The 19002-nt window shown below is 40.6% G+C and overlaps 1 protein-coding gene across 16 annotated transcripts in view; it reads right to left on the bottom strand.

The window, feature by feature from the left end:
- Positions 1 to 19002, bottom strand: part of RYR2 (ryanodine receptor 2) — a 791805-nt gene that overhangs the window by 10938 nt on the left and 761865 nt on the right. For all 16 annotated transcript variants that reach the window (XM_006711802.4, XM_006711804.4, XM_006711806.4 and 13 more), the window contains 3 exons: positions 16768 to 16914; positions 14016 to 14150; positions 3859 to 4015 (listed from right to left, as the gene is read on the bottom strand). In XM_006711802.4, coding sequence (XP_006711865.1) covers positions 3859 to 4015; positions 14016 to 14150; positions 16768 to 16914 — 439 coding nt within the window. The remainder of the gene's footprint in view (positions 1 to 3858; positions 4016 to 14015; positions 14151 to 16767; positions 16915 to 19002) is intronic.

Here is a 19002-nt window from a genome sequence, read left to right as displayed (position 1 = left end):
AGGTCTCTAAGAACTTGCTTTATGCATCTGGGTGTTCCTGTATTGGGTGCATATATATTTAGGATAGTTAGCTCTTCTTGTTGCATTGATCCCTTTACCATTATGTAATGCCCTTGTCTCTTTTGATCTTCGTTGGTTTAAAGTCTGTTCTATCAGAGACTAGAATTGCAATCCCTGCTTTTTTGTTTTGTTTTGTTTTCCATTTGCTTGGTAAATATTCCTCAGTCCCTTTATTTTAAGCCCATGTGTGTCTTTGCACATGAGATGGGTCTCCTGCATACAGCACATTAATGGGTCTTGACTCTTTATCCAATTTGCCAGTCTGTGTCTTTTAATTTGGGCATTTAGCCTGTTTACATTTAAGGTTAATATTATTATGTGTGAATTTGATCCTGTCATTATGATGCCAGCTGGTTATTCTGCCCATTAGTTGATGCAGTTTCTTCATAGTGTCAATGGTCTTTACAATCTGGTATGTTTTTGCAGTGGCTGGTACCGGTTGTTCCTTTTCATGTTTAATGCTTCCTTCAGGAGCTCTTGTAAGACAGGCCTGGTGGTGATAAAATCTCTCAGCATTTGCTTGTCTGTAAAGGATTTTATTACTCCTTCGCTTTTGAAGCTTAGTTTGGCTGGATGTGAAATTCTGAGTTGAATATTCTTTCCTTTAAGAATGTTGAATATTTGCCCCCACTCTCTTCTGGCTTGTAGAGTTTCTACAGCGAGATCTGCTGTTAGTCTGATGTGCTTCCCTTTGTCGGTAACCCGACCTTTCTCTCTGGCTGCCCTTAATTAACATTTTTTCCTTCATTTCAACCTTGGTGAATCTGACGATTATGTGTCTTGGGGTTGCTCTTCTCTAGGAGTATCTTTGTGGTGTTCTCTGGATTCCCTGAATTTGAATGTTGGTCTGCCTTGCTAGGTTGGGGAAGTTCTCCTGGATGATATCCTGAAGAGTGTTTTCCAACTTGGTTCCATTCTCCCGTCACTTTCAGGTACACCAATCAAACGTATATTTGGTCTTTTCACATAGTCCCATATTTCCTGGAGGCTTTGTTCATTTCTTTTCACTCTTTTTTCTCTAATCTTGTCTTCTCACCTTATTTCATTGAGGTCACCTTCAATCTCTGATATCCTTTCTTCTGCTTGATTGATTCGGCTATTGCTACTTATATATGCTTCACAAAGTTCTTGTGCTGTGTTTTTCAGCTCCATCAGGTCATTTATGTTCTCCTCTAATCTGGTTATTCTAGTTAGCAATTCATCTAACTTTTTTTCAAAGTTCTTAGCTTCCTTGCAATGGGTTAGAACATGCTCCTTTAGCTCAGAGGAGTTTGTTATTACCCACCTTCTGAAGCTTACTTCTGTCAATTTGTCAAACTCATTTTCCGTCCAGTTTTGTTCCCTTGCTGGCGAGGAGTTGTGATACTTTGGAGGAGAGGAGGTGTTCCAGTTTTTGGAATTTTCAGTCTTTTTGTGCTGGTTTCTCCCCATCTTCATGGATTTATCTACCTTTAGTCTTTGATATTGGTGACCTTCGGATGGAGTCTCTGAGTGGACGTCCTTTTTGTTGATGTTGATACTATTCCTTTCTGTTTGTTAGCTTTCCTTCTAATAGACCCCTCTGCTGCAGGTCTGCTGGAGTTTGCTGGAGGTCCACTCCAGACCCTGTTTGCCTGGGTATCACCAGTGAAGGTTGCAGAACAGCAAAGATTGCTGCCTGTTCCTTCCTCTGGAAGCTTCCTCCCAGAGGGGCACCCACCAAATATCAGCCAGGGCTCTCCTGTATAAGGTGTCTGTCGGCCCCTACTGGGAGGTATCTCCCAGTCAGGATACATGGGGGTCAGGGACCCACTTCAGGAGGCAGTCTTTCCCTTATTAGAGCTCGAACACTGTGCTGGGAGATCTGCTGCTCTCCTCATAGCTGTCAGGCAGGGACGTTTAAGTCTACTGAAGCTGAACCCACAGCCACCCCTTTCCCCAGGTGCTCTCTCCCAAGGAGATGAGGGTTTTATCTATAAGTAAATAACTAGGATTGCTGCCTTTTTTTTCCAGAGATGCCCTGCCCAGAGAGGAGGAATCTAGAGAGGCAGTCTGGCTGCAGTGGCCTTGCTGAGCTGCAGTGGGCTCCACCCAGTTCGAACTTCCCAGTGGCTTTGTTTACATTGTGAGGGTAAAACTGCCTACTCATGCCTCAGCAATGGCAGATGCCCTCCCTCCACCAAGCTGGAGCATCCCAGGTCAACCTCAGACCGCTGTGCTGGCAGCGAGAATTTCAAGCCAGTGGATCTTCGCGTGCTGGGCTCCGTGGGGGTGGGACCCGCCAAGCCAGACCACTTGGCTCCCTGGTTTCAGCCCCCTTTCCAGGCGAGTGAATGGTTCTGTCTCGCTGGCATCCCAGGTGCCACTGGTATATGAAAAAAACTTGTGCAGCTAGCTTGCTGCCTTCCCAAACAGCCACCCAGTTTTGTGCTTGAAACCCAGGGCCCTGGTGGCATAGGCAGTGGAGGGAATGTCCCGGTCTGCTGGTTGCGAAGACCATGGGAAAAGCATGGTATCTGGGCTGGAGTGCACAATTCCTCCTGGTACAGTCTCTCACAGTTTCCCTTGGCTAGGGGAGGGAAATCCCCCAACCCCTTGTGCTTCCTGGGTGAGATGACACGCCACCCTGCTTCTGCTCACCCTCTGTGGGCTGCACCCACTGTCCAACCAGTCCCAGTGAGATGAACTGGGTACCTCAGTTGGAAATGCAGAAATCACCCACCTTCTGCGTCAATCTCACTGGGAGCTGCAGACTGGAGCTGTTCCTATTTGGCCATCTTGCCAGCTACCCTCCCTCCCCCACCTTTTTTTTTTTTTTTTTTTTGAGATGGAGTTTTGCTCTTGTCACCCAGGCTAGAGTGCAATGGTGCAATCTCTGCTCACTGCAACCTCCTCCTCCTGGGTTCAAGTGATTCTTCTGCCTCAGTCTCCTGAGTAGCTGGGATTATAGGTTCACACCACCACACCAGGCTAATTTTTGTATTTTTAGTAGAGACAAGGTTTCACCACATTGGCCAGGCTGGTCTTGAACTCCAGACCTCAAGTGATCCACCCACCTCAGTCTCTCAAAGTGCTGGGATTACAGGCGTGAGCCCCTGCGCCTGGCCTGTATGTCATTTTTAAAAATCTCAACAACCACAGGGCTTAGAAGTTTTTGTTGTTGTTGTTGTTGTTGGGTTTGAGTGTGTGTTTTGAAATGGAGTTTCGCTCTTGTTGCCCAGGCTGGAGTGCAGTGGCGTGATCTTGGCTCACTGCAACCTCCACCTCCCGGGTTCAAGCAATTCTCCTGCCTCAGCCTCCCAGGTAGCTGGGATTACAGCTGTGTGCCACCACGCCTGGCTAGTTTTGTATTTTTAGTAGAGATGGGGTTTACCATGTTGGTCAGGCTGGTCTCGAGCTCCTGACCTCAAGTGATCCATCCCCCTTCAGCCTCCCAAAGTGCTTGGATTACAGGCATGAGCCACCGCACCCAGCTGGCTTAGAAGTTTAAAGGGTTAAATGGCTCACCCACCCAAGATTGTAAAGCTGGGGTTCATGAGTCTGAAACCCAGAGGTGAGAATCAAACCAAGGAAAGTGCCTTTTCCATTATGTTATTTGAAAGAAGACAAAATAACACTGTATCTTCCCTTCATACCAGGGTTCCATACCGCTTTATATTTCCCCCGGTAGATTGCATGATGAAGAAATACTGGAAGGAAAAGTTTGATTTGGCTTTGCCAGGAAACACTTGACGTCATTACCCTACCTTGAATATTAACTTCAGCAACATGTGGCTCAAATTCTAGATGTTCATCAGCTTCAGTGAGGAGGATACTTACCTTGTATTATGGCCAAGAGAATGACAATAACAAAGAAGAAGAAAGTGATGTCAAAGATGATTCGATAGATCTCATATTCATCTCCTGCTGGGTCTTCGATTTCATCCCCGATCCCTCCTCCAGCACGAACTCCAACATACATGTGGAACATATAGCACTGGAAAAAAGACATGGTATCACTTCTTGGAGGGACATTACCCATTTTTTTTTCTCGACAAACCCGAGTTATCTCTGTAGTTCCTAATCCTCACTCTGGAAATGAGAATTTTTGCATTCTATATTGCCTCTTTTTGTTTCAGTATTTCTAGTTGTGAAGCAAACATTTGGCTTTTGCATGTTGCTGTCTTTTAAACAAAAGTGTATACTGCATACTCCGCCTAGCACTTTCTCTCTCACTTTGGAGAAAATGGAAAATTTTCTAGCATCTTGTATCTAGTATCTTGGCTCTGAACCATCTGTGCTAATGAGGTAATCATATTACGAACACATTCAGGGACATACAACTATATTGTATTGTTTGGTTATTTTGGACATAACAGACATTGGAAAGGTCAGGTAATAAGATGGAATCTTAGAAATTAAGCTAGAAGAAAACATACTAACACCCTTCCCTCACATAGTATATATGAAATATGATGCTGAAATTATTTTCTACTTTAATATCTAGAATACAAAAGAGAGGAGACCTGGGGAGGAAATAGCATCTTATTGTTTAAACCCTAAAACGTCAAAGCCACCAACAAGTACAGCTGCCTGTGCCTACTGCTAAAAAATGAGGGGTTCACTAAAGTGCATTTTAGGGCAGTGTTCTTGGCTTCAGCACCAGTGACATTTTTGGCTGGATAATTCCTTGGGCAGGGGCTATCCTGTGCACTGTATGCTATTTTAAAAAGATCCCTTGATCTCTACCCCTTAGATACCAATAGCACCCTACCTCATAGTGACAATAACAGATATCTCCAGATACCAAATGTCCTGGGGCAGGGGGTGGCAAATGAAGTCATGCTGGATTGAGTCACTGGCTTGGAGCATCCAATATTTTATCCTCATTTAAGCTAAGTTCCAACTCCTTTTTCAGGCCTTGAATTTAGCCACACTCAGCTTTCCCAAAAACTTCCCTCTCTGCTCTCTCCGCTCTCCCCATACCTCCTCCAAGTGAACTATTCCTGATTCCAGATCTTTGCTCGTACATTCTCCTTCTCTTGCAATAGGCTTTTCCATTCTTACTCCATTTCTACTCATCCTGTAGGGCCTAAATTAATAATCCTTCCTCTGAGATTTTCTTAGACTGTTCCAGATACCCTGACTTAATGGATGTGTCACCCATCAATTCAAAACCTAGTTAGTTGCTGCTGACCAGAATGATGGGGACAAAAGCCTTAACACAGAAACACCACACTCCTCTGCTTCGCTTCATTTCTGGCCATTGCTTTCCAGTCTCCTTTGCCAAATCTTCCTCATCTCCCTGTAGCTTCATGAACAAATGCCCCAGGACTGGGTTCTTTGAGCTTTTTACTTTTAGGACACTCCCTTGGGGGACCTTTCCCAGTTTCATGGCTTTAAGTATCATCTCTGTGCCAATTATACTCATTTCTATTTCCAGCCTGGATCTTTTTCTTGAATTCCACACTTGGGTATCCAGCTTGCTTATTTTTTGGTGTCTATCTCATTCCAGTAGGACTGACTGCATTCCAACAAGAAATGCTTTGGTTATTACTCTGTTGCCAGTGCCTAAAATAACGTCCAGCACATGGTAAGTCCTCAAATCATTTGTGGGATGAATGAGGAGCCTTCACTGCCTCAACCCACAGATCTCACATTCTCAGGACACTTTAAAAAGCACAATGTGTAGGCAAAGAGCAGTCAACAAGGTGATATCAAAATGCTCATAGTTCAACTATGAGTTCAACAGCTGATGGATCTGTTAGATGCAGAGGAGAAAAAGTCTCCTGGGTTAGATGGCTGGAATTTAGGGAACAGAATTAAATGTGTCATTTGGAAACGTTTTATCAGCCTGGCATACAAGGATGAGATTGGGCACATTCAGGGTCGTATGGTTGTAGACTCAGCCTGGCATATAATAAAGAGCATTATAAGGCCAGCTCAGCCAGTGCCCACCCAAGATCTGATCTGGAGCCCAGGTTAGGGGTCTCTTTTGCAGAAAGGTCAGGAGATCCTTAGAGCCAGATTAGGCTGATAGGGTCTAAGCCTAACCTCATATCAGAGTCTCCTGGACGTGGCAACATTCTGGGTTCCTGGTACTACCTACTGAGTCAATCTCTGGAAGTAAAATCTTACAGACCATCCATCACTTAAAAAAATATCCTGAAGCTACTGCTGTAGTTTTTCAAAACTTGGTGCTTGAAACTGCTAACAGTGAATCTGTGAGAAGGGGAAACTATTTTCACCATATACTCAGGCATACTGTTTGAATTTGTTTTACCACACATTTCTTACTTTTATTAAGAACTGGATTGCTTTTTTCCTTTTTTTTTTTTTCTTTCTACATAGAGTCTCGCTCCGTCTCCCAGGCTAGAGTACAATGGTGCATTCTCTACTGACTGCAACCTCCGCCTCCTGGGTTCAAGCGATTCTCCTGCCTCAGCCTCCCAAGTAGCTGAGATTACAGGTGTCCGCCACCATGCCCAGCTAATTTTTGTATTTTTGGTAGAGATGGAGTTTCACCATGTTGGCCAGGCTGGTCTCGAACAACTCCTGACCTCAGGTGATCCGCCCGCCTCGGCCTCCCAAACTGCTGGGATTACTGGCGTTGAGTCACCGTGCCTAGCCTGGATTGCTTTTCTCCAAATCTGTGTCTTCATATGTATTTAATTGTGACTACAGGAAATCAACAAAGAGTGGTTAACACAGCTTCTTTCCTCTTTAGTTAGACCATCTTTCCCATTGCCCACGTTTCTCTGACTTCACAAGTAGCTTTGTGTTTGCAACTCTCCTCCGGGGATTTCTCTGGGGACTCAGTTTGGATAGTATACCTGGTTCTGGACTGGTACTCCTCCATGTCAAGTTCTGGTCTCTTGGGTCCCCATTCCAATCCCCACAGTGAGCCAACAGTGGATTGTGCAGTTCCCAGTCCAGGTCTTGGAATGTCCTAGCTCTCCATCCCTGCTTCTTTGAGGAACTGCGTGTGACAGCACTAGTGGCTAAGATTGCCCAGCAACTGATGGATGAACTGATCATCCATCAGTTCCTCTTGGTGATTCCTGCTGACCAAGACTCTTGGTCTTGCACTTGGGAGTCTTTGGGTCTTGGGTTAAAATTTGGCTTCCCATAGAGGTGTTTGTCTAGGGAAGAGAATGTGCCAACTTGTTGCATTAACTTTTAATGAGTAGCATGTTGGTATTCTGACTCGTACATCAGGCTTATGTAATACTGGTTAATGTGAGTCTGTCCCCAAAAGAATGATTCACTTGTAGTTTCTAGACATGTAATGTTGAAGACAGGACCAAGGAATGAGGCTAAATTACCAAAGAAAATGTCTCCTTCTTTGCAGATCTCTTGTCAGCCATCTAACAACCTTTCCTGGAAATACCCTTCCTCACTGCTCTCCTTCATTTTACATCAGCTTTATGCATTGTGATGAAGGGATTCCAGCAGAGATCGGTAGTGGACTTAACAGTCATGCTGAAAAGACAGTCTTGTGCATCTGATTATTTAGGCTTAATAAATTACCAAATTTAAAAAGAATAAAATGTACAGTTCACCTGTGGGATGTTGATACTGGTTTTCCCAGCTTCATCCTTTACTACCTGGTCAGCCTTAGACAACTGTATGTAGTTGGCTGTGGTGCTGGAATAGGAGGTATGTGGTGAATAACTTCCAATACATGGCTGTCAGGCTTTCAGCTACCAAATTATCCTGCTGCAACTGAAAATCCTTTTATCCACCTTTCTTTTCATAGAATCAGCCTAAACCTGATAATGAGAGCTGGAGGTGGAAAGAAGTAATGCTGTGAGACAAAAAGATGTGCTTCTTTCAGACAATCTGAGTAATGAGGAAGGAAGGTGCCTGGTCCTACAAAAATTTAGAAGAGGAAGTTGTTGATTTCCAAGATGTTATAGTCTGTGGCTTCCCTCCCTCATCCGTCTCCTAAACAGATTCATTCTGAGGTTGATCATAGTTTCTATTGGCTTTAGGGAACACTGAGGGTCAGCTGCTGGTGAAGATCCTTATCAGGCCTTCATCTTGGCAAAAAAAAAAAAAAAAAAAGAAAAAAGAAAAAAGGAGCAGATTATTTGTTGGGAAAGTAGGGTAAAGTAAGTGACAACAATTAAGTGAGGTAATTTAGAACAATTACCTAAGCAAGTTTATTTCCCTAGGAGTGTACTTTTCATCTTAATCACCTGGAAAGCTATTTTTCCCAAAGTGCATAAGTCTTGACACCTTCCCCTGCAGCCTCTGGTTCAGGGGGTCCCTCTCCATCTGAGATGAACATCGTCCTATATGTCAAGTCAGACTCCCTGGCTATCTAGCCACAATCATCTTTCTACCTTGGACTTTACATCATTTTTCTCTTTCTCCTCCTACATTCTTGTAGAGGAGGTTCAAATTCTATCAGGATACTGCTGGTTTAATTAGATTCTCAGGCTCAAAACATCCTAATCTGGAAAAAAAAAAAAATCCCCCTGTGACTTGTCTATAACACTGCAGCTATGGCGCCCCCTACTGTAAATTATGAAAAACAGGAGGGCGAGTTGCCTATTTGCAAAACCTAAGATGTTCTCTCAGAGCCACAGAAACAACCAGAAACAACAAAGAAACTCAGGATGAAGTGAATAAAATGTGACATGAGTGAGGAAAATTTATCTCAAGAGAGAATATAGACATCGCCCTGTGAAAGGACACGTTCAAGAGACTGTCATAAAGAAAGGATCATCTTTTGAGAACTAAATTAAAGAAATTAAATCTTTGTTTCCTATTCTGTGCTGCTTTCTTGCTGGCAGGCTGGTTTTAATAAGCCTGTACTTTGAAAGCGCACTACTCTAAGTGATCAGTTATATTTTAAATTTTGTTGGCTTTTTAAAGAAGCCCCTGCACAAGTACTGGTAAGAAGCAAATTAAAAGTAAGTGTTTGGACGCTACAATTGGAATGTCAATCTAGGTAATGTGGCCTCCATTCCCATGTGGGAGTTTTTAGGGACAATTACTGGGATATGAGCGTGTGTAATGCTACACAGACTCCTGTCTGGTTTGACTGATTGGCAGCAGCCCGTCACTGTGAATGAGCTAGGGATGAAAAAGTGGCTTGTGTCTTGGAACTGAGTTTTCTCTTGCAGGGAAGAAACATCTAAGACATATACTCAACCCAGTCAAAGACAAGATAGTAAGTTTATTGTTATGTGTAGAGATATAAAAACCTACAACAGAGCTGGTCATAAATAGTCTTACTCATGAGGACAGAAATCCCTCAAACTGAAAAAAATCTAGGCTCTAGCTAAGTCCATAGTTCAGAACATCAACAGGCCGTATTTCCTCACCGGAACCAAGTTTCTCTGTCTTCTGTATTCATGCCCCCATGAAATTAGGCAAAATCAACCAGGTGAAGGCAGTTGTCTTCCTAAGCAAAATTAACAAAAGTAATGGAAATGCATACTGAGAGTGAGGTTCAAAATGTAGTCGTTTAAGGATCCTATGATTACAACTTGAATGGGGTCAACTATGACGACTGCATAATAAAAGGAGAGACCAGGATGTTGCTGGGGTCTCCCTGTGGTACAAAAGGAAGATCTAAAGTCACATATTGTTCTCACTACCTGATACAGGTCACTGAATGCCATTATCTGAAATCATTCCTATTTTTCTATTAATTTTTAGCAATTCTCTGAGCATCATAGCCTTTAGGAATACATAACCTAAGTAAACTTTCTGCCCTGAGGCTGGTAGATATTGAGATTTATAAATTTTGTCGGGTGTTTGTCCTAGAATAGAACTGAATTTCCTGGAAGTCACTGCAGGCAATGTACCTGCTACTGCTACCTTCTGCACCTCCCTTGTGCCTTGTAGCCTTTCCTGGCCTCCCACTCCCCTCCTGCCTTCAGGGTCACAGGGTAGAAAGGCTCTGAGCACAGCTGATATTAAAGGCAGCGCATGGAAGAGGAGATGAAGGATCCTTAACACATCTTCAGCCCTAGGCCTGGAATGAATGAATAGGCGTGGGAGGAGGGGGTAAAGTGTTGCATGTTAGTGACTCTGATGGAGAGTCGTCACTAGTAACGGGTCAGTCTTATTGCATTGAATCCAGTTTTCTTACAGTTGCTGTAAGTTAAAAAAAAAAAAAAAACTTATACATTTTTCTCTGCTTTGTGGTGCGAGAAAAGCAGCAAAAGGAAGGATAGGAGATGGTTTTAAGAAGTGGGCAGGTGGGCCAAATCAGGGGGTGATAGAAAGGCAGTCAGGGAGGAGGCTCCAGGCAAGGTGCATGAATTATTTGTCCAGCAATTAATCGGAGAAGAAGACTAGCAAATGTAAGTAAGTATTACATCTCAGTCATGACAACTTATGATGACTAAAATGGATCTCAAGTATTAAGGCACTTGATCTATGTCCGTATCAATATCTTCCACCCTGTGGTATCATGTGACATTAATAAGTTATTTCTATTTCCCTGTCTAGTAGCCAGCCACCTAAAGCAACTTCTCAATTGCAATATTTGAGCAGTGATGTTGAATCCACTATTTTTGTATAGTATATTAAATGTTCTGTATGCGATAGGAATACTGATCCACAAGGTTTTCCAAAACTTCTGGAATTTCTGGGGCACTCTTTTCTTGGAGGATCCCAGAAAAAAGAACGAGCTTAGCAGAATTTCTAGAAAGGTGCTTACCATGCAAATTCCATGAAGGCAGGGACTGTACTTACTCAAGCCTTATCCTTAACGAGTGCCTGGTATAAAAATAGCACTAAAATTAATGACAGAAGCATGAATGAAGTTACTATCTGTGAGGTAGTGTAACTTAGAGTACTGGTTGAAGAGTGTCACCTCTTCCTAACTGTGTGACTTATGACAAGTTACTCAAACTCTTGGTAGCTCAGTTTCCTCATCTGTAAAATGGGAATGATAGCAGTGCCAACCTGCAGCAGAAAGTTGGTAGGAGACTACTGAGTTAATATTTGTAAAGCTCTTGAGACAATGCCTGGGACAATAGCATTTATAGCCAAGTGCTATATAAGCACTTGACAAATAAAAAAAATCTACAAGACTGTGGATTTGTAACTGGGATGGCATTTTCTTCCAGTTGAGGAATTAAGTTTATGGATGAACAACCATGAACATCAGAGTCCTTTCAGCTCTGATACTCCGTGTCCTCCAAGTAGGTCACTAGCACGTGGAAACCACAAAGTCACATGTGAAACACCTCAGAACGGCAATCGTGACAGGAAATGTTGAAAATTACAGATGATTTTCACATGAACAATATGATTTGCTCTGCTGTCAACTATGTGTGGAAGGATGAGTTGAAAGCTTTTTCCCCCTGCATTCTCCATCAAAAGCATCCCTTTTTGAAGTTCCAAGCCTTCGAAAATTTAATCTTGACCTAAGAAAAGTGAATATTTTTATGTCAGCAAGCTATTATGTATCCCCAATTTTTAACTAACCTGCAATTCATTTGAGAGTTATTTATTCTTAAGATTTTTTTTATTAAAAAGAAAGTTGGGAAGAGAACAAAATGCTTAATATTGAAAAGCTAAAGAATGACAATCTTGTCTGAAGCTCTCTAAATTAGTAAATAAAAGAATACTTGTTTAAAGGAGAGAAAGGATGGGCAATTCTATATTAATGATCATTTATGATAAAGTTTTAAATACAGAAAAACTTCTTTACACAAATAAGAGATTTGGGCTATAAATAAATGGCTCAAGAACAGGCAGTGGATCAAAATGTAACATCGAGTTTCAGCAGAGCTTCCCTCAACCTCTGTCCTTTAATTCCCTCAGGTCAGCCACCTGTATGTTCTGTTCTCTCCTCCCTGCCAGGGAACAGTCACTGCATGTAGTTATACTAATTGTGGGAATAACTGAAGGCAGATTATCTTCTATAACATGGTGGGGAAAAAACTGTCTTAGGCTTTTAAAAATAAAAAAATACCTATGGTAAAAAGAAATAGTATCAATAATTCAGACAGGAGTAAAGTCTATAAAATGAAAAGCAAACAAGTTTCTTTCCCCTGTGATCTATGGTCCTACCCCTGTAGGAATCCTTGTTCACAGTGTCCTATGAATAAATCCCTCCAGAAAAATGTTATGCATATTCCAGCATATCAAAAATATGAATTATTGTGTATATATAATTTCACACAATTAGGATCCTATCATTACTGATCCAAGATCTTGTTTTTTTAAATTAAATGTAATTTAATTAAAATGTAATTTATATATCTCTCCATATCTGTATACATGAATTTCTCTCATTTTCAAACAGATGCATACTTGTTATGGATTTATCGTAACTGACTTAATCAGGACACTACTAATGATCATTTAGATTATTCCTAGCTTGTGAGGGCAGCTAATGTTCTTGAACATACAGAGGCTTGTTTGTGAGTAAACCTTTAGGTAAAGTACTAGCAGTGGAATTAATAGGTCAAAGGATATATATACTTAAAAATTTGATAGGTGTCACAAAACTTCTCTAAAATTGTTGTCAATTCAACCTCCCAACCAGAGTCATGAAAATGCTGATTTTTCCCATCAATTCACCAACTGTGGGTTTTAACAAACGTGAATACTTTGCAAACCTGATAGGTAAAAAGTGTTTTTTTCATTGTTTTAATTTGCATTTCTTTCACTTTGACAGAGGCTGAGCGTCTTTTCAAATTTGCAAGCCCACTGAATTAATTTTACCGTGAATTGTCTGGTCATGTGACTTACTTGTTCTTCTATTGGCTTATTTCTTATTGATGTGATAAGGACTTGGTAGATTAAGGAAAATGGCCCTTTGTTATGGTGTTAAATATATCTTTCCCAGTTTACCATTTGCCTTTACGACTTTATTTATAGTTGCTCTTTTTTCAAATAATGTTTATGCTTTCATAGATCCTGAGTTTTATGTCATACTCAGACCGTTCTCCATGTAAAAATGAGTATTACTATTATTTAAGGCATCAAATTCTGTCTTGTGATTATTCCTTCTTATTGCATTAAAATATGCTCATTTCAGAATTTATTTTTATTTAAAAAGCAAGGTTGGCATCCATTTTTATCATTTCCCCCCAAATAGCTTGTCCATGGTACTAATGTCATTTATTAAATTATTTTTCATTTCATTACTTCAAAAGATCTTTATCATCTTTTAATTTCCGTGAGTATTTGCATCTGTTTCTGAACTACTCTGTCCCACTGAGTTGTCATTCTTTAGTATAAAATTATCTTAATTGTTAGTCTTTGTAATACTGGTCATTCTCATCAATCTTTTGGGCTATTTTTTCTAGAGTAATTTATGTATCATTATATCAGCCTCTATACCTACATCCCCAACACAAATGATGTAGGTATTTTCGTGAGGAGCTTACTGAAGGATACATCTCTTTCCAGCTAGTGATATATATTTTGTCTCATGTTCCCCTTCCTGATCTAAGATCTCATGTATGATTACCTCTCAGCTGCCAATATTAGAGAGACAGGTTGTAGAACAGCGATATAAAGCAATATGAAAGCTTTAACAGCTGTTGATTTTTGAAAACCAAGACCAAAAAAGACATTTAAGCCAAGATACTCAATATAAAAGCAAAAACCAGTAGTTCTAGGAAGAGATATATTTTTGAAATTTAGTAATTTCAGTTAAAGTCATTAAGGTGAACAAAAAACTAAGGCTTCCAAATGTTCTCTGGGAAATAGTTTTACCCGTTGTCCTGGGATATGTGAACAACAGGCTTAAGTGATGACATTACTCCTTCGAGTTCTAAGTACATTACTCAGCAATTCTAATTATTAGGCTGTGCAGCACATATGGAAAATTGACAGAAATGCTCCTTTATGTTCTGCTAAAATTGAAAACTGCTGAATCTTTAAACAGCCCTGCAACTTTTTATTTGTTTAGACTATTTTCTATTTTGTACTGTTAGAGAATAAATACACAATTACTTAGACTGCAGAAGCAGGAGACATTTTTGTTTATGTGAGATCAAAGGTTATGAACTTACTGTTAGCATATCGTCACATTTCATATCTGGTGTATCACCATCTTCACTTTTATTGTAGAATTTTCGGAAAAAATTGAATGCCACCACAGTGTATAGGTATACAACAACAGCTAATAAGCCAACGGTTAATACGAGCTGGAAAACAATGTGACAAGGACCAGGTATTAGAAATGTAGGACATACAATTGACACGTGACATCTACATGGGCGGCGAGTGCTCTAGTGAGAACACAGCCGTGTTTACTAGAAGCTAATGGGATCCATAACTTATTTCTCACCTTTCTTAGCCCCCTCATGCAGACATTTATTTTCATATTCTCTTTATCAAGTTGTCAGACTTTATTTTATTTTATTTTATTTTATTTTGTTTTTTTTTTTTTTGAGACAGAGTTTCTGTCACCAGGCTGGAGTGCTGTGGCACAATCTGAGCTCACTGCAACCTCTGCCTCCCGGGTTCAAGCGATTCTCCTGCCTCAGCCTCCCGAGTAGTGGGGATTATAGGCATGCGCCACCACACCCAGCTAATTTTGTATTTTTAGTAGAGATGGGGTTTCTCCATGTTTGTCAGGCTGGTCTCGAACTCCCGACCTCAGGCGATCTGCCCGCCTCGGCATCTCAAAGTGCTGGGATTACAGGCGTGAGCCACCGTGCCCGGCCCTTTCTTCATTTTATGAGGGCTATTTTCTATAAATTACATTCCTAATAAAATGCATTTCGTTTTTGTTATGACTGTAAATTATTTTTAAATTTTCAATCATATCCTAAACTAAATAGAAATTTGTATTGCCCCTGAAATCTGGGGACACACAACTAGTAATAAGGTATAATATAAATATTTTTTAAAACTGAGAAATCTTGCTTTGTAAACAATGGCCAAAGTGAAAAATACCACAGCTAGTGACCAACACTGTTTTGAAGGCTATTTTTCTCAATCTATAATTAAATGTCTCTGTTTGAAAGGTCTTTCAGCTCTATGTAATCTGTTTTTAATTCCAAATTATACTTTAATTTTTGGATAGCTATAAGTATATGATAGAATTGTAGAGTATTTTTGATAGAATATGTATATGCTAAAAATGTGGCTTTTCACCCAGTTGGTGAAAATGTATTTCTGGTTTCATCACAGAAATTCGACCATACTAACAGTGCTTTATCTTTATGTGTACTTTTTCTGATTACAGCACATCTTTATGGTCTTGACTGCAACTGCTTATGCTGATTAAGTCTTTACAAAATCACTTTATAATTATCTGGAGAAAACATGTTACCTTAACAGAGGGTTTCATTCATTTCTATAAATGAAGTGCAAGGTTACTGTGAATTTCTGCATGTTTCACCTGTTAGGACTATAAAGCTCTACATATTTCTGCAAATGAAAATTTGAGGCCAGGTGGGGTGGCTCATGCCTGTAATCCTAGCACTTTGGGAGGCCGAGGCAGGCAGATCACCTGAGGTCAGAAGTTCGAGACCAGCCTGGCCAACATGGTGAAACCCCATCTCTACTAAAAATACAAAAATTAGCCGGGCATGGTGGCACGCGCCTATAATCCCAGCTATGCGGGAGGCTGAGGCAGGAGAATCACTTGAACCTAGGGAGGCGGAGGTTGCAGTGAGCCGAGATCGCGCCGCCGCATTCCAGCCTGGGTGACAGAGCAAGACTCTGTCTTAAAAACAAACAAACAAAGAAAATTTGATCCCTCAAAAAGAAACCCCACAAAGCTCAGAAATGGAAAGTAGTGCCGGACCTTTTATGTAGAAACACACATACATTTGGCATCTCCAGTTCTTTACTGCATATCCTGGGAGCTCAAACACATCTTATTAACTGACAGATAAATAGACTTTTTTGTCGCTAGACCCATGACTTGCCGTGCACGTCACAGTCATACTCAGAACCTAAAGTGACATATGTAAGAATCATGCTGAAATTTAGAAAACTGATGATAATGTGGACTTAACTGTGGACCCAGTTCAAAGCTTTTAGAGAGGCAATTATTTTAAAATGTGCTGGGCTACAAGACTCTGGAAATGAAGGAGTCTGTTAAGCCAAATAACTAACACAGAATATGTCGCCACCCAGTGGACACTTGAAAAATAGCAAGTGAACGGATCAGTGCACACTTCTGCAATATGCTTCAGGATAATGGGAAGTCTTAACATTAAGAACAGGTTCCATTGGAACGTAAGTGCATTTTCTGGACCTAGACCAGTTTTCTTCCGAGTCAGCATGACCTTGTCAAATATGAAACGTTATCCTTTTTGCTCAATTTAAAAGTAAAGAGTACATGAATATCCAGCTTAAAAATACTACATTAAAATGCAGCATCTCATATTTTACAACGAATACAATGAGTGGGTCAGGATTCTGTAACCTATTTTGGTTCTCCATAATAGCAAGTGGAGCAAATACTATACTAGGAACAAAATAATAACTAAGTTCCTGAGTGCTTGATATGGGCCAGGGGCTGTGTTAAGGCATACACATTTGTTTTTATTTCATTTTCGCAAAAATCTGGTAAGGTATGTACTTTTATTATTTTCAGTTAATTTATCCAAAGTCAAGCCAAGGCTTGAGTATAGGCCTAGGAGACCCTCAAACTACTAATCCCTGCAGTTTAGAACAGGTGCAGACCCTCCCTTCAAAAAAATCTTTAAAACTGTACATTGTCATTTGAGGGGTAGTTTTATTTTTCTTTGTTTTATTTGTTGCTTTTTTATTTTCTGCAAGGGAGGAAAAAGATAAACTGTTTACCTGTTTGCCATTGTGAGTTACTGAGGACAAGATGGTTCTTAATGTCTTGAATCCCATAGCAATGTCGAGAAGGTGAGCGGCAAAAAAAAAGTTGTTATAGTGTCCAAGAACAGACATAGTCATATACCAGGCTAGGTAGAGGAAGGACTATTAAGACAAAACGGGGGGAAAGAACATGTCAGAAAACAGAACGCATGACTATTGTTATGGGTTAAGCAAAATAAGCCAGGAACAGAAAGTTAAACTCTACATGTTCTCACTCACATGTGGAATCTTAAAAAGTTAATCTCATGGAAGTAAAAAGTAGGAGAGAGGACACTAGAGATTGGGGAGAAAAAGGAGAGGTAGGAATAGGGAGAGATTTGTTAAAAGATACAAAGTTATAGCTAGATAGAAAAAATAAGTTCTGGGGTTCTATACCGCTGTAGGATGACGGCAGGTCACAATAATATATAGTTTCAAATAGCTAGAAGGGGGATATTAAATGTTCCCAACACAAAGAAGTGATAAATGTTAAAGATAATGCATATACTAATTACCCTGATCTGATTACATTATATTTATCAAAATATCACTAGGTACCCCATGAATATGTCAATTAAAAAAATACAATTAAAAAGTAACTCTGATTTCACTCTGTTATAATTACTCCATTTACTTCATCTTCGTACACTATACTTTTTTTTTTTTTTTTTTTTTTTTTGAGACAGAGTCTAGCTCTGTCGCCCAGGCTGGAGTGCAGTGGCACAATCTCAGCTCACTGCAAGCTCTGCCTCCCAGGTTCATGCCATTCTCCTGCCTCAGCCTCCCGAGTAGCTGGGACTACAAGCGTCCGCCACCACGCCCGGCTAATTATTTTGTATTTTTAGTAGAGACGGGGTTTCACTGTGTTAACCAGGATGGTCTTGATCTCCTAACCTCGTGATCCACCCGCCTCGGCCTCCCAAAGTGCTGGGATTACAGGCGTGAGCCACTGCGCCTGGCTCACTATACATTTTTACAATTCTAGTTAGCTGTATCAGTTTGTTCTTTGTGAATTTTATTTTTACTTAATTTGTTCTGAAAAGGTCAGTGTCATCCTCCTTTAAAACAGTTTTAAAGTGTTTCAGGAATTGTCGTTGTTATTTATCCTCCGACAGAGAAACATTTATTGACTTCCTACTCCGCAGCAGGCTTTCTCAACCCAGCGCTATTCATATTTTGGTTCAGATAATCCTTTATTATGGGTGCTGTTCTGTGCATGGTGGGATGGCAAGCAGCATCAACTAGATGCCAATAGCACCGACCCCACCTCTCCCCTGAGTCATGACAACCAAAAATGTCTCCAGACATTGCCAAACATCATTAGCAGACAAAACTGTTCCCCAGTAGAGAAGAACCCTTGCTCTACAGCCAACAAAAGAACCAGTCGCTTTCTCTCCCTCCTTTTCTTCCCTTCTTTGCTTTTCATTTATTCACTGACTAAATCAGTGTTTGCTGAGACCTACTAGTTATGAAATTATATGAAGTGTTTTATTAACCAAGCATCTCACTTTACGTGAGCCACAGTAAGTCTAGGAGAAACCCAAATACCATGTGACGTCACTGAAAGCTATAATACACCTAATAATACTATTGGTACTGTTGTAGAAGTCTCCTGGGTTATAATTAATGTTGATTATTCACATAGGCTGGAAAATGAATACACTTTTGGGGGAGGGCCAGGACTAATGCAGAATAAAAATATGGTGGCTGCTCTTACTTATGGGACTACAGTCTCTGCTCCATAAGGAATGTTTTGCTAGTGGAGTCAGAAACCACCCATTTGGGGAAGCGGCGGACACCTTCATTTTGACTGTAAGATATCTTAATCTTTCACAGAGAATAAAAAGAGGGGGCTGAGCTAGTAAAGGGATTTCAAGGACCATGTGGAACTGAAGCTAGAGGTCAAGTGGCAGAAAAGAAAACAGCATTTTTAAAAAGCACACTGAGGTAAGACTAAACAGAGTTTGCTTGGGAAGGAAAATTTGGTTTGAGTGGTGGGTTCCTGTTTTGCAAGACCAAGTTGGAAAAGTGTGGCAGTGTTGGAGAGGCTTGAGGGCAAGTTCAAGGACATTTGTGTACCCCACAGGAACTTGAGTGCCACTGCAGTACCATGAGAAGGATAACGGTTTGTGAAAAATGGCATTTTAGGAAAATTTCTTTAGCACCTACTAAGTGCTGGTCAACGTTCAATATATTTGCACACATGGTCTC

This window comes from Homo sapiens, chromosome 1, assembly GCF_000001405.40.
Source record: "Homo sapiens chromosome 1, GRCh38.p14 Primary Assembly".
Classification (NCBI taxonomy): Eukaryota; Metazoa; Chordata; class Mammalia; order Primates; family Hominidae; genus Homo; species Homo sapiens.
This window is presented reverse-complemented; position numbering and strand designations above follow the sequence as displayed.